General features: G+C 35.1%; 1 long non-coding RNA gene across 1 annotated transcript in view; it reads left to right on the plus strand.

The window, feature by feature from the left end:
- LOC105373153 (uncharacterized) overlaps positions 1 to 15,127 on the plus strand; it is a 350,749-nt gene that overhangs the window by 116,192 nt on the left and 219,430 nt on the right. Inside the window, exon 2 of the long non-coding RNA XR_950542.4 lies at positions 11,058 to 11,158. This is a non-coding gene — a long non-coding RNA (uncharacterized LOC105373153). The remainder of the gene's footprint in view (positions 1 to 11,057; positions 11,159 to 15,127) is intronic.

Consider the following 15,127-nt stretch of genomic DNA (forward strand, 5'->3'; position numbering starts at 1 on the left):
AGATATTGGTCAAAGGATACAAAATTTTAGTTAGATAGTAGGAAGTTCAAGAGACCCATGGTACAGCATGGTGACTACAATTAATAACAATATACTGTATGCTGGAAAATTGCTAAGATATTTGGTGTTCTCACCACAAAAACGAAGGATAAGTATGTGAGGTAGTGGATATATTAATTAGTTTCATTTAGTCATTCCACAATGTATACATATGACAAAACATATTGTACACCATAAATATATGCGATTTTTGTCAAGTTATCATTAGAAAAAGAAAGCCCTGTATATGTTTAGCATAAGGCATGTTCAGAAAACAACTGAAAAGTCTCCAAACTTTCACCTCAGGCTGAGGCCTAGGCTCATTGCAATCCTGGATATGTGTTAAGGAAGAGCACCAGCACAGGGACAATCTGCAAATACTGGGAGGGTAATATTGTTTGTTGTTGTTGGTGGTGGTGGTGGGGTGTGTATGTGTGTGTGTGTATTTTGTTGTCATTTTTATAAACTTATATTCAAGAAAATCTCTGTCAAAACTCTAGCTGAACAGAGACTTCGGTGATGACTTATGACAAGGAACACATGGATGCATACACTGGTCCCTGAAATAGTTGAGTATTATAGCCTTCAACAATAATAACATCAAAACAATAAACCCTGGAAAGGAGGGGAATTTGATTCCACAGTTATCACATTATAATACTTAAGTGCCCATTTTCAACAAGAAAATAACAAAGCATACAAAGAAAATGAAAAACATGACCCATACAAAGAAACAAAATGAATTAACAGAAACCATCTCTGAGTAAGCACAGAAATTGGACTTATTAGACAAAGACTTTTAAAATGTCTTAAATATATTCAAAGTCTTAAAGGAAAACATGGACAAACATGTAATGAAACTTCGGAGAATAACGTATGAACAATATGAGATTAGCAATTAGAAGATAGAAATTTTTAAAAAATAAGCAAACAAATTGTAGAACTGAAAAGCTCAATAGCTACAATGAAAAAACACTAGAGGCACTCAAAAGTAGATGTGAGTAGAAATAAGACAGAATCAGCAAACTTGAAGATAGGTTAATTGAAATTATGCAGTCTGTAGAGTGAAATGAAAAAAGAAATGAAGAAAAGTGTACAAAGGCTAAGGAACCTGTGGAACACTGTCAAGTGGACCAACATATGCATTATGAAATTCTAAAAAAGGGTAAAAGAGGAAGATATAAAGGGGCAGAAAGAATATTTGAAAAAATCATAGTCAAAAACTTTCCAAATTTGTTGATAGATCTAGCTTCATAGTCAAAACCCAAACTTCACTGAGAATTAAAACTTTTCCCCTTTTCTGCTTGTATCAGTCTCAAAAAAAAAAAAGCCACATTGCAATATATGTCCCTTTATCCTTTTTGTTCATTCCTTTCTTTTTTTAAGCTACACAGAGCACTTCTTTTCCCTTAACTCACAGGATATATTTGCTGAACCTTTTAGGTTTAGGCTCACAAATAGAAGGGATTAAAAGGGAAAGGGCATATGTTTTCTAGTTTGGCTTTTGGCAGATATACTAAGTTGGCATATTTTCTCATAGGGTGTTTTAATTAATGTGAACTTGTGAGAGATTCCCCTGCTGGGAATCTTCAGTTGAAATTCCTACAAGGTGAACTTTTTTTTTTCTTCAATAAGCTTTTTACTACTCCAGCCATAAATTTTGAGCATTCAGCAGTCCACCCCTTTATATATTTTTAATTGAATTATTTGGGAGTTTTATTGCTATTGAGTTATTTGTGTTCCTTATATATTCTGTATATTAACCCATTGTCAAATGCATAGTTTGCAAATACTGTCCTTTATTTTTGTACATTATCTCTTCACTTTGTTGATTGCTTCCTATGCTGTGCAGAACCTTTTTAGTTTGATGTAATCCTATTTGTCTGTTTTTGCTTTTGTTGCTGGTGTTATTGAGGTCTTATTGAAAAAATATCCTTCCCAGACCAATGTTGTGAAGCATTTCCTCTATGTTGTCTTCTAGTAGTTTTGTAGTTTTAGACCTTAAATTTCAGCATTTAGCTCACTTGAGTTGATTTCTGTATACAGTGAGAAATAAGGATCTAGTTTCATTCTCCTGCATGTGAATATTCAGCTTTACCAGGACCATTTATTGAAGAGACCCTTCTTTCACCAATGTGAGTTCTTGGTGCCTTTTTTAAAGAATCATTTAGATATAAATATGTTAATTTATTGCTGTGTTCTCCATTTCGTTCCATTCATCTATATGTCTGTTTTTAAAGCAGTGCCATACTATTATGTTACTATAGCTTTGTAGTATATTTTGAAGCTAGATGGTGTGATACCTCTAAGCTTTGTTCTTGCTTAAGATTGCTTTGGCTATTCAGGGTATTTTATGGTTCCACGCACATTTCAGGATTTTTTTTTTTTATTTCTGTGAGGAATGTCATAGTTATTTTCATAGGGATTGCATTAAATCTGTATATTGCTTTGGGTATTTGGACATTTTAACAATATTAGTTCTTCTATTCCATGAACATGTAATATCTTTCTATTTATTTGTGTTCTCTTACATTTCTGGCATCAATGCTTTATACTTTTCATTGTAAAGATCTTTCACTTCCTTGGTTAAATTTATTACTAAGAATCTTATTTTTTGTAGCTATTGTAAATTGGATTCCTTTCTTGATTTTTTTCAGATAGTTTGCTATTGGCTTATAGAAATGCTATTGATTTTTGTATGTTTATCTTCTATTCTGCAACTTACTGAGTTTATTAAGTCTAACAGTTGTTTTCTGTACAGTCTTTAGGATTTTCTATATATAAGATTATGCCAACTGCAAACAAGGCAATTCTACTTCTTGCTTTCCAATTTGAATTGTCTTTATTTATTTCTCATTCCTAAGTGCACTGGCTAGGACTTCCAGAGGCATGCTGAATAATAGTGATAAAAGCGGACATTTTGTCTTGTTCCATATCTTAGAGAGAAAGCTTTCAAATTTTCCCTGTTTAGTGCAATGTTGGTTGTCTGTTGTTGTATATGACCTTCATTGTGTTGACATACATTCCTTTTATACCTAATTTGTTGAGAGTTTTTATCATGAAGGGATATGGAATTTAGTCAAATGCTTTTTCTGTGCCTATTGAAATAATCATAAGGTTCTTGTCTTTGATTATTGTAATGTGATGTATCATATTCGTTAATTTTCTTTAGTGGTTGTTGACCATTTTGACTTTTAATTATCATACTAGACATCTGAAAGATTGTATATCAGCATTCGAGTAATGAAGTATTCTGAATTTTACAATGAATTTACCCATAAAAGTGAGGTGTATACTTTCATATGTTTGCGTGATAGTAATTATTGTCTTTTTGCTCCCACTTTTGACATTCCATTTAGCATTTTTTGTAAGGCTTATTTAGTAGTGATGACTATTTTTCCTTCATTTCTGAAGGAAAGCTTTGTTGGGCATACCATGCTAGCCAGGCAATTTTTTTTTCCCCAGTACCTTTAATATAGCATCCCATTCTTTCCTGGCCTGCAAGGTTTCTGCTGAGAAATCTGCTGATAGTCTAAGGGGAATTTTCTTATATGTGACTTGACACTTTACTCTTGCTGTTTTTTAGAATTTTTTCTTTGACTTTTGACAACGTTATTATAATATGCCTTGGAGAGGGCTTCTTTGACTTGAATTTATTTCAAATCTTTTGAGCTTCGTGAATCTGGATGTCCATATCTCTCCCAAATCTTGGGTAGTTTTTAGGTATTGTTTTGTTAAATAGTCTTTCTGTGCACTTCTTCATCTCTTCTCCCTTTAAACTCCAAAGATGCAAATATTTGATTGCTTAATAACGTTCCACACATCCTGTAGGCTTTATTTGCTCCTTTTGATTGTTTTTTTTTCTTTCTTGCTGACTGGCTTATTTGAAAAGACTTGTCTTCAAGTTCAGAAACTCATTATTTTGCTTGATACAGTCTGCTCTTGAAAGTCTCAATTGTATATTTTAGTTCATTCATTGAATTCTTTAGCTCTAGTATTCCTGTTTGTTTCTTTTTTGGTCATAGCTGTCTCTTTGTTGAATTTCTCTTTTGGATCCCAAACTGTTCATCTAATTTAGTTTGTCTGTCTGTATTATCTTTTATCGTAAATTTCCTTGGGTCATTATTTTGAATTCCTTTTTAGGAAACTCATAAATGTTTATTTTTGGAGGGTCAATTATAGGAAATGTATTGTGTTTCTTTAGTAGTGTCCTATTCGCTTTCTTTTTTATGTTTCCTGTATCACTGTGTTGATATCTGTGCATCTGATGGAACAGTAACCACTTCCAGTCTCATACAGTGTCTTTCATGGGGAAAGACTCACCTGCCCATGTGTTGTAGGGTGTTGGTTGAGCAGGGTATTTTGGATTTGCTTCTGGGTGAATGCCGTAATGTGGTCTCCATCCAGTTTCTTCAGCTATAGGCAACATCAGTGATGCCTGAGTGTGCCTCAGTGTGCCTCAGTGGTTCATGCTGTAACAGTGTTTGTGGCTGGTCTACCTACTCAGTTACTGCTCCTTGATAGTGGGGCACTGGTATAGTCTGTGTTTTGGGGATATTTAGGGCTGGTCAACTTGTGACTTGGGCTTTGCTTCACTAGGGGCTGGACAGTGGGCTGGTCCATGCTGTGGGGTAGCATGGGGCTGGATATCTGATGGCTCTGCTCAGGAGTTGTTCCCCTTAAGGTAGGGTACGAAGCTGGTCCATATTCTGGAAAAACATGAAACTGGTTGACTGGCAGCTTGGATTGAGATCTGCTTTCCTGAAGGCAAAGTTCCAAGCTGATCCATGCTTAAAGGAAGTGCAAGGATGGCTGGCAAGCAGCTCAGCTCAGTCGCTGCTCCCCTGAGGGTGGAGTGATGGGGTCATGGTTGTTCCACTGGATATAGATTTCAAGTAGGTTGGGTTGGGGTGCTATAGCCCCTGAAGTAAGGAAGGTACTGTACCTCCTAGGCAGCTTTTTCCTAGGAGTAGAAAGCTGTAACAGCTCAGCTGGGTAATGCTGCGCTATTGTGTGCAAGCATGGCGTAATGGAGGTGGAGCCTCAAAGATGGAAAGATGCAGTAGCTACTGGTCCCCGGAAAGGACATATTTTATTACTGACTCTGGTTTAGGGATGGCATCTTGCAGTAGGGGTTTGGGTAATGTGGGGAAAAGGGCATGATGTTAGCTCCTTTTCTGGAGCAATCCAGCTGTGTGAACTCCTGAAAGCTCCCAAAACTGGATGGAGAGCCTGAGAAAACTGCAAGATTCTCCAGCAGCAAAACCTACAGGTGTCTACAGCATTGATGAGGAGTGCTGAGGGCCTTCTGTTTACTTTCTCCCGACATGGGAAAGTCCCTCCTGGTTCTGAGCTGATCCTAACTGGAGAGGTGGCATGGCAATGTCAAGATGTCTCACTCCTTTCTTTATGTGGCAATCTTGAGTGTCTGTGTTCCACAGAATTTCTGCCAGTCTCCTGCTGTACTTTAGCATTCTCATTCAAATACTCTTGTCAAACTATAGTTGTTTATTTGTCGTTTTTGTCCTTTTGTGTGGTGGGTGACAAGCACCAAGCACCGAGCACCTCTAGTCAGCCATCTTTCTGACATCGCTCTCTTAATATCTCTTATTGTCTCATTTGAAATCTGTTTTACCAATACATTTCCCATTACATGTCACCAGTAATTATACTTTGACAGATACCAATGCTGATTAAAGGCAAAGTAAAACTGAAGAAATATTTCATTACCTGAATGAAAAAAAAATCACACTCCTCTATGTTATGTCACAGTTAACTAAAACTAAATACTAATAGTCCTGAGTACTATAGTAGGTACATGAGCCACATATTTTACTATTTATACTATGGTTTGTATTAAATTTAAATGTTCTTTGAGTTCAGTATTTTTAAAAAGTAGAAAGGAATTCAAAGATCTCAAACCAGTGGTACAGCCTCAGCTAAGGCACACAGAATGTTTCTCCAGGTAATATGTCTCTAAGCATGAGCTATCAATAGCTTTTCTATTTGTATTCCAATTATAAGGAGCTTCTTGAACTGGAATTTTCAGAGAAGCCATGAAAATGTACTAGTTTAGAGACTCTATGAAAGGAAATAATTCTGATGTAATTTTTATATAATAATTTCTAATATGCATTGTACATTAGGTACAACATTTTCTTCTCTATTTTTCTTTATTTGACAAGAAGAAAATTAAAGGTCAGTATTTTTGATATTTTTCTTTTCTCTTTTTTTATCATTCTACAAAAGATGCTAAAGTTAGTCTATCAGTCTGAAGACCAATTGTATTTGAAGCTAACCTATATAGCAAGATTAATTTTTTCTGTCAGTGGTTTTCTGTCACTAAGCAAATGGTCCAAAATGAGCCACTTGACTAACTAACATTAACATGTAATTGTCTAGAAATCTAAATAGTATACTACTCGTATTCAAGAAAAAAATACATTTGGAGGATTCCTGTCACTTTTTTTTTTTTTTTTTGATGATTCAGGGAAAGTACCCATGAAATTTAGATTTGGGGAAGGGCATAGGGGAACATAGTATAATTGCAGTCTACTTTTACTCACCAGTACTTCAAGAGTAACATTCTATCCCATTTTTACTAAACCATTATATGTTGAAATAAGATTCATTTCAGATGTCATTTTGCAAAATTCCTGTTAAGATTTAAGCACTGGAAAAAAATTTTTTAAACTAGTGCAATTACTTTCTTTTCAGCTACAGATTTTCTTGACATGACTAGCCACAACTGTCTAATATTTTTTATATTTTAATAAACACTGTATAAGAGGAAACACAAATTTTCTCCAATGAATGCCTATCAACACACATATAATAACTAATTTTCTTGACAGGCTTAACAACGGATAATGTATTACTATTTAGCAACCAATTCTAGTAGACAGATTTGAAAAACAAATAAGCTGTTGTCTAGTTCTATTTCAATATATATACTCATTGCTAATTTAAATGTAGACAAAATCTTACTCAGTCCTCTCTATAAGTCAAGCTTTATCTTGCAGGCAAATGTAGTCAGATATGTAATTTGCTTGTCAGCTATTGCCATGTGTTCAGAAATGGAGTTATTTTTAACATTTTAAAACAAACTTAGATTCTTAACCCAATTAATATTATGTCTGAACCTAAAATTACCAAATTATGTTGGCCTCCATACCCATTCTGTGCACATACATACACAAACACACTCATAGATCATTTATATCTACTAAAGCATTTGTTTTTCATTTTGCTGTATATAGATAATTTCACAAAAAGTAAAGCAAAATCTTGAGAGTTTTAGGAAAGGCAGAGCCATCTACTGCCTTCACCTGCCATACACAAATATTAATTCAACTATGGTTTTGAGAATATAAACACTAGAAAAGCTGATATAATATAAAAAGTTTACAGCATGTCAACCACTGTGAACAAGACATTTAGGTCATTTTTAAACAGTTACTTATCCCCCCAATCATGTGAACAATACAGCTTCTGAATTAACCACCTAGCATTTTAGGAAAACCAGAAGGAGAACATCAGCCATCTTTTTATCTCCCTGTGGTAGGCAGGAAGAATAACCCTCCCCCTTAAAAAAAGTCTATGCCCAAATCAAGAAAACCTGTAAATATGTTGTCTTAATTGGCAAAAAGAAACTTTGAAGACATAATTAAAGTTAAGGAATTTGAGATGGGAAGTTATTCTTAATTATTCAAATGGGCCCAATAAAATCACATGAGTTCTTAATAGTGGAAGAGGAGGGTAGAATTGTTGATGTGGGTCGGAGAGACTGGGTGATGGAAGAAGAGGTAGAGGTGATTTGAAACGTGTGGAAGACTCCACTTACTGTTTCTGTCTTTGAAGATGAAGAAAGGAGGCAGTCTTAGTCTGTTCAGGCTGCTATAACAAAATACCATAAACTGAATTATTATAAACAATAGAAATTTATCACAGTTGTGGAGGCTAGGAAGTCCAAGATCAAAGTCCTAGCAAATTCAGTGTCTGGACTCACTGTCTGGCTCATAGATGGCACTTTGTTGAAGTGTCCTCACATGTCAGAAGGGGCAAGGAGCTTCTTTGGGGCTCTTTTATAAGGGCACTAATCTCATTCATGATGCCTCTGCCCTTGTGATCTAATCAGTTACCTCACAAGGGCCCTACCTCCTAACACCATCACCTTGAAGGTTAGGATTTCAATATGTAAATTTTGGGGAGACATAAACATTCAGACCATGGTATGGGCTATGTGCCAAGGAATGTGGACAGCCTCTAGAAGCTAAGAATGACCCTCAGCTGAAAACCACCAAGGGAAAGGAGACCTCTCTTCTAAAACTGCCTGGAACTGAATTCTGCCAACAACCTGAATGAACAAGAAAATAGATTCTCCCTTAGCGACACCAGGAAGAAATGCAGCCCTGATGACACCTAGAGTTTAGCATAGTGCAACCAATGTCAGACTTTCAACCTACAGAGCTGAAAGATACATTTGTGCTGTTTTCAGTCTCTAAGTTTGTGGCAGCAATAGAAAATGAATACACTCTTCTTACAAATTTTGTCTGCATATTTTTATTGGAGTGGGTTTATTTTAAAACAAGATAGGACTTGTGAGTTTAAACTAAAGATTCTTAGAACATTCTGGAATGATATTTATTTTTATGAAATAATTTCTAGTTTAAACACATGAAATTGATTTTAGCTTGCATTCTAAGTCATCTGAGATTTGAAGGATGTTCCATGTCTTAGTCTTATTTATTGGGGCAACTTTGCAATTCCAAAAATTATATACACAAAATGAACTCCTCTTGTTTCTGTGTCACTTTAACTAGAGGGTCTATGTGCAAGACAAAATACCAATCCTTCAGATTTATTTATTTATTTTTAGACGGAGTCTTGTTACATCGCCAGGCTGGAGTGCAGTGGCGTGATCTCGGCTCGCTGCAACCTCTGCCTCCCGGGTTCAAGTGATCCTCCTGCCTCAGCTTCCCAAGTAGCTGGGATTACAGGCACGGGCCACCATGCCCAGCTAATTTTTGTATTTTTAGTAGAGACGGGATTTCACCATGTTGGCCAGGATGGTCTCGATCTCCTGACCTCATGATCTGCCCGCCTCGGCCTCCCAAAGTGCTGGGATTACAGGCATGAGCCACCGTGCCCAGTCCATATTTATTTTTATACTCAAGCTTTCCCTTTACAAACTTTACCCAAATTACAGTGATAATGCCAGTTACTTTTTCATAAGAAACAGGGCATCTGCAACATTGATTATCAAGTGGTTCTGAAATTCCCACTGCCCACACTTTGTTCTCTCAAGACTTTGAGCATCATAAACTAACTATAATATACATTCATCATGAAGAAAAGATTTACTTTTTACCCTTAAAAAATCACAACCTACCAGCCGGGCATAGTGGTTCACGCCTGTAATCCTAGCACTTTGGGAGGCCAAGGTGGGCAGATCACCTGAGGTCAGGAGTTCAAGACCAGCCTGGCCAACATGGCGAAACCCCGTCTCTACTAAAAATACAAAAATTAGCCGGGCATAGTGATGCATGCCTGTAATCCTAGCTACCTGGGAGGCTGAGGCAGGAGAATCGCTGGAACCCAGGAGGCAGAGGCAGCAGTTAGCCGAGATCGTGCCACTGCACTCCAGCCTGGGTGACAGAGCAAGACTGTCTCAAAAAAAAAAAAAAAAAAAAAAAACAAGCTACCATTTTCTTTGTCTGTTTCTGCCACAATGACTCAGTGTGCAAAGTAGTATGATTCACGGGAAGTCTAAACAATCTATTTCTTTGTAGACTACACACACACACACATATATATATATACACACACACACACATATTTACATATATGCATATGTGTGTATATATATATACATATATATATACACATACATATAAAGGTTGAGCTCAATAAAGAAAAAAAAAAATGCCAGTTAGCCATTGTGTGTGCTTTACTCGATTGAGAACTTTTTCTAACTGAGAATGAGCTTTTTCCAACTTAAACCTATTTGTAGGTTTGTGCCAAGTGAAAACAACCAGTATGAGCATAATTTTTTATTTGAATTTTCCTGTTACCTTTTAACTCACTTATACTGTTTATATTATATGAATTTTGTATCTGACCTCCTCATTTTGTTGGTAGTTGTATTCATTTGCCTTTCTATCTGTCCCCAAAATCACCGAACTCATTGAATGACAAAGAAAATGTTCTCAGTAGAAATGCTTGTTGACTCCTTGTGCTCAAAGAGCTGGAATTTAAGGAAAATAGACCTTGAGTTAAAAGACAACATTTCACGATGATTAAAAATGATAGAGACAGGTGTCAAACAAACTTAAAATACATATGCAATTAATTTGAGGTACAGTTAGTAGGGAACACTTGTTGAGAAATCTAAATTGGCAGGCCATCACTCTAAGCAGGAGAAATAACAAAAGAGGTCACTTGGGGAGATTCAGGAGACAACCCAGCCCTTTGTTAAGAACTGTCAGGGAATACAATTGAGTATGTATGGAGGGCAACAAGATGGAAAGTTATTCACAAGATATCTGAAAAACAAAATTGGTGTTTCTGAACAGGAGAAGAATGAGAGCAAAGAGAACTAACATTTATTCAGCAATTACTATAAGCCAGGCACTGTGGTATTTGTGTATGTTATCTGTTTAAATCCTACCATCAGTCCAGAAAATAATATTATCTCTATTTTTAGAAAAACAAACCAAGATTCATAGAAATTGAAGTCATATGAGCAGTTGATAGGGTTTAAACCTAGAACTGCCTGATCTCAGTGCATCTGCACTTGTTCTATAATATTGAGAGATTAAATTCTCCTTCAACACTTTTGAGCTATAATTCTGCAGAATATCAGTAAAGATATTTGAATTGTCCATATGAAATCATTCAACACTGAAGTTCTTAATTCCTTTTTAACAGTCCTTTTTAAAATCAGGTAACAAATTCTTAATTGTTTTTCAACTTCATGCCATCTCTATATATGAGTATTATTATTTGACTACTTTTAGGTCACATGGAATCTACACATGGAAGGACATAGGCATTGCATGCAGGTATCCGGAATCATTGATATTGGTCTTAAAATTTGGAAGTTTCCACTTTTGCTAAGGTATGTTTTCCTTAATGGTGGAGGTTTACTAATTGGGTGTACCTCCAGATCTAATTCTTTCATGTAATCCTCATATGATAGGAAGTAATGAGATGAATATCATTAGGCATTTTCAAATTTGAATTGAAACATATTACGATATGTTTATATTAGAGACTGGACAAAATTATCATTAAGATTCTAAGGTTCTACTTATCATTACCATGAATGGGTTTTAAACTGCTAACTAGTTAAAGAACTGTAAATGAAAAAAGAAAAAACAACTTTGATCACTCCTAGCTATCAAATTACCATATTTAAAAATGTCTAAAAGTCATTACTGTTGAAACTATGATTGTTTAGAGTTTAGACAGTTGTATACACTCAAGCAGGGAGTATAAAAAGGGTCGCTATTCTAGAAATCGTTAGCCTATACTTTAAAAAAATTATAGCCATTGATACTGTGATAAACTTTACCTGAAATCTGTTCATTTGTTTAAGTATAGACAACTTAATGTCTATATGTTAAGTAATGTCAGTGTTAAGTAATGTCTATACTTACAGAAATTAACAGATTTTAGGAAAAATTTATCAGTTATATTGATTATAGCTTAACTTGTATTAATTTTTTAAGATACAGACACAGTGGCCAAAATAAAGAAAAGGTCGATACATTTTATCCACAAAATGGGAATAAAATTACTTTTTTTTTTTGAGATGGAGTCTCGCTCTGTCACCCAGGCTGGAGTGCAGTGGTGTGATCTCCACTCACTGCAACCTCCACCTCCTGGCTTCAGGTGATTCGCCTGCCTCAGCCTCCAGAGTAGCTAAGATTACAGGCGTGTACCACCACACCCAACTTAATTTTTGTAATTTTTAGTAGAGATGGGGTTTCACCATGTTGCCCAGGCTGGTCTCTAACTCCTGGCCTCAAGTGATTCACCCGACTTGGCTTCCCAAAGTGCTGGGATTAAAGGCATGAGCCACAGTGCCTGGCCAATAACATTACATTTAAATCCAATTTAAAATGTTTCTATTCTTTAGCATGATTGCAATATAATATTAGATAAAATACATAATAAAGTTAATAAAATCTCTAAGAGAAATGACTGAGAAGAAATTGTTAAAAGTATTAACAATAATTAACTGAGAAATCATGGGTTATGAGTGATTTTTAACTTTTGATTATAACTTTGGATTTCTCTATGATAATCAGATATTGCTTTTACCAAAGCAAAAAGTTTATTAATTGCCAATTGTAGAAGCCAATTTGCCTGTATATTTTATAGACAAAGAGGATTTGTTTGTTTTCCTTGTTCTACATTACATTACCATGAGTTCTCTTAGAATTTTTAATTTACCACTTATTATTCCCACTGATAAAATAATTCAAGTTGAGTTTGAGTGTATTCATTCCTTTCCAATCTTGGTTTTGAGGTAATATGATTTTTTATTTACATACCATTTAATATCATTATTACCAATGTGTCATTTACATGAACTAATTTACTTAATTTTAAGTGTAAATGTCAATGAATTCTGTTAGATTGTATATCATTTTATTTGTGCTTGCTATTTTAATGCTCCAAGTTTAAAGTTAGAGTGTGAATAACATCCTCCCCCACCTTCACACTTACAATACTGAAGCCCATTAAAGCCCAGGTTAGGAGGATTTCCTGCTTCCTCCTCTCTTCTACTTTCCTTCTAACTCCATGAAATATTTAAGAATCCCCCCCTGAGGATCCTACAATTGTTAGGAATGTAGTCCTTTTTGTTTCCTCAGTCATCCCTGGGGCTCTAAATTGAGCAACTCAATCTTTATTTTGAAGCCAAAGACTTTCAATTGCCACCAAAATTTGCTTTGAAAGTAACCAGTGTTGGATAACAACCTGAAAACTTGGGAGCCCAGTGTGAAGCTAAGGGGCATAGGTAGCCAGCAATATTACTTCAGAGGTGGTATAGCTACATTACATTTAATAAAAACAGATCTTCAACATTCAGTTATTTTTAGATTCTATGATGTTAGTTTCCCATTTAAATTGTATCCTCATAACCAACCACCAACCTCCAATCCTCACAAAATCTTTCCTGATGGTCAATCATGGAGGGGGCGGACATAAAATAAAAATATAAATAAACAGGGTCGGGCTGGTAAGAGAAACCAGAAACTGAGAAGACAAAGTTAGAAACCAGTAATCAACATGAAAATGTAAGGTTCCAGGGGATTTTAAAATCTTTGGGAGAGTTTTGGGTTACACAGACTATGGAATGAAAATTGAAGAAAATTTATGCAGTTAGCAAAAGCTAAGGAGATTTGAAAAATGTGTTCTTTAGCACCTCAACAATTTCTGAAAAGGCCTGGAGTGAAGGTAATGTAAGTATTTTGCTGAGACTTTCAAAAACAAAACCAGGGAGATGGAAAGTATAACATAAAATAATATTGAGGAAAAACAACAACAAATTATTAGAAACTTAAACAAGAAATATAGTTTGGATGGCAAAATCTTCAAAAGGAACTGTATTCAACACAGCAGTACAAAGTCACAGGGATCCTGAGTACATAAGGTCAATCAGGAGGAAAAAGGGGGCTGTGGGTTAAGGCCAATAAAATAGAATTGTTTTTGAAGTGAAAGCCTCAAAGAAATTTTATTTACAAAGATTTTTATTACAGCAATATATTTAATGTAATATCATCGAGAGTCTCCTAAACTATGTTTTGAGACCTTAAACCTCTTTGAGCATTGCATTGTAATCTATGCTACTTTTCAAGAATATTACCACTGTCACCAGTGATTGAATATTAAACATTTCCTGTGTTTTTCTCTCTGTATATTTCTCCCCACTCTTCCTGCTCTTTACTTCTGTACTAACTTCTTAAAACTATAGTTAAGGGCCCACAAACTCAAATGCCGTCAGGGATGAAGCAGGCAAAGGCAAAATGAATGTATCACAAAAGTAGGTGATGGAGACTGTGAAAAGACAGTGTGTCTGGCTTTTTTTTTCTCTCTCTGTCAAACACACACACACACACACACACACACACACACACACACACACACACTTCTATAGTCTGAATCCATGGAGCACTGGTTTGTAACTCCAGGTGTAATTATAGTGGCCTCTGGAGTAAGACAAATAGGAAACCCACTTTCTACATTTGTAAGAAATGTTGACTTGGGCAAGTTATCTCACTTCTATAAGTCTACATTTCCTCTTTTGTAAACTGGGAATAATAATAATAATACATATATATAATATGTATAACAACAACAATATAATATATATATATTTTAAATATTTTAATCTCATTTTTCAAGATGGGGATTACTATAGCACTTTTTGTTAAGGAAATATTGAGAACACATTTCCATCTTCAGTCTTACTCCACTAATAATCTACTAAGTTATTTGAACCAGATTAGTTTTATAAATCTATTTTAAACATTTTTAATATTTAAATATAATATTTAGTTAATTATATTTGTTCCTAAGAATTCCAAAGTATAAATAATTTGATATTTTAACACAATTTATTTTCTTCTTTCATTTCATGTTCCTAGTACGAACTCTTATGAAAGGAAGTGACCACTTATGCTATTTTGACTTGATTCATTTAGCAAGGGAGAAGTTACAAATATGCTGTCCAAAAGATGTTTGTATGGAAACAGTTTCTCCCACTTCAGTCCCCAGATTAACAGGGAGGATTAGTGTTATTGACATTAATATTTATAAATACCATTTAGATGTTCCTCCCTCTTTTTACTCTTCTTTCAATTTTACATAGGGGATATGGGCTATGAAGTGGGCTTGTCCCATATCTGACCCTGAAGGCTTGAGAGAGATAGTATCCATTGAATGAAGAAAATGGCCTGATGAAAATATGTTGTACAAATAAGCACATTTTTAAAAGTATTTATTTACTCTTTATATTGTATTGGTATATAGTATGTTTTATACCAACAGTTATCTACTGAAAATGAAACCCTAGAAT

Source organism: Homo sapiens, chromosome X (genome assembly GCF_000001405.40).
Source record: "Homo sapiens chromosome X, GRCh38.p14 Primary Assembly".
Classification (NCBI taxonomy): domain Eukaryota; kingdom Metazoa; phylum Chordata; class Mammalia; order Primates; family Hominidae; genus Homo; species Homo sapiens.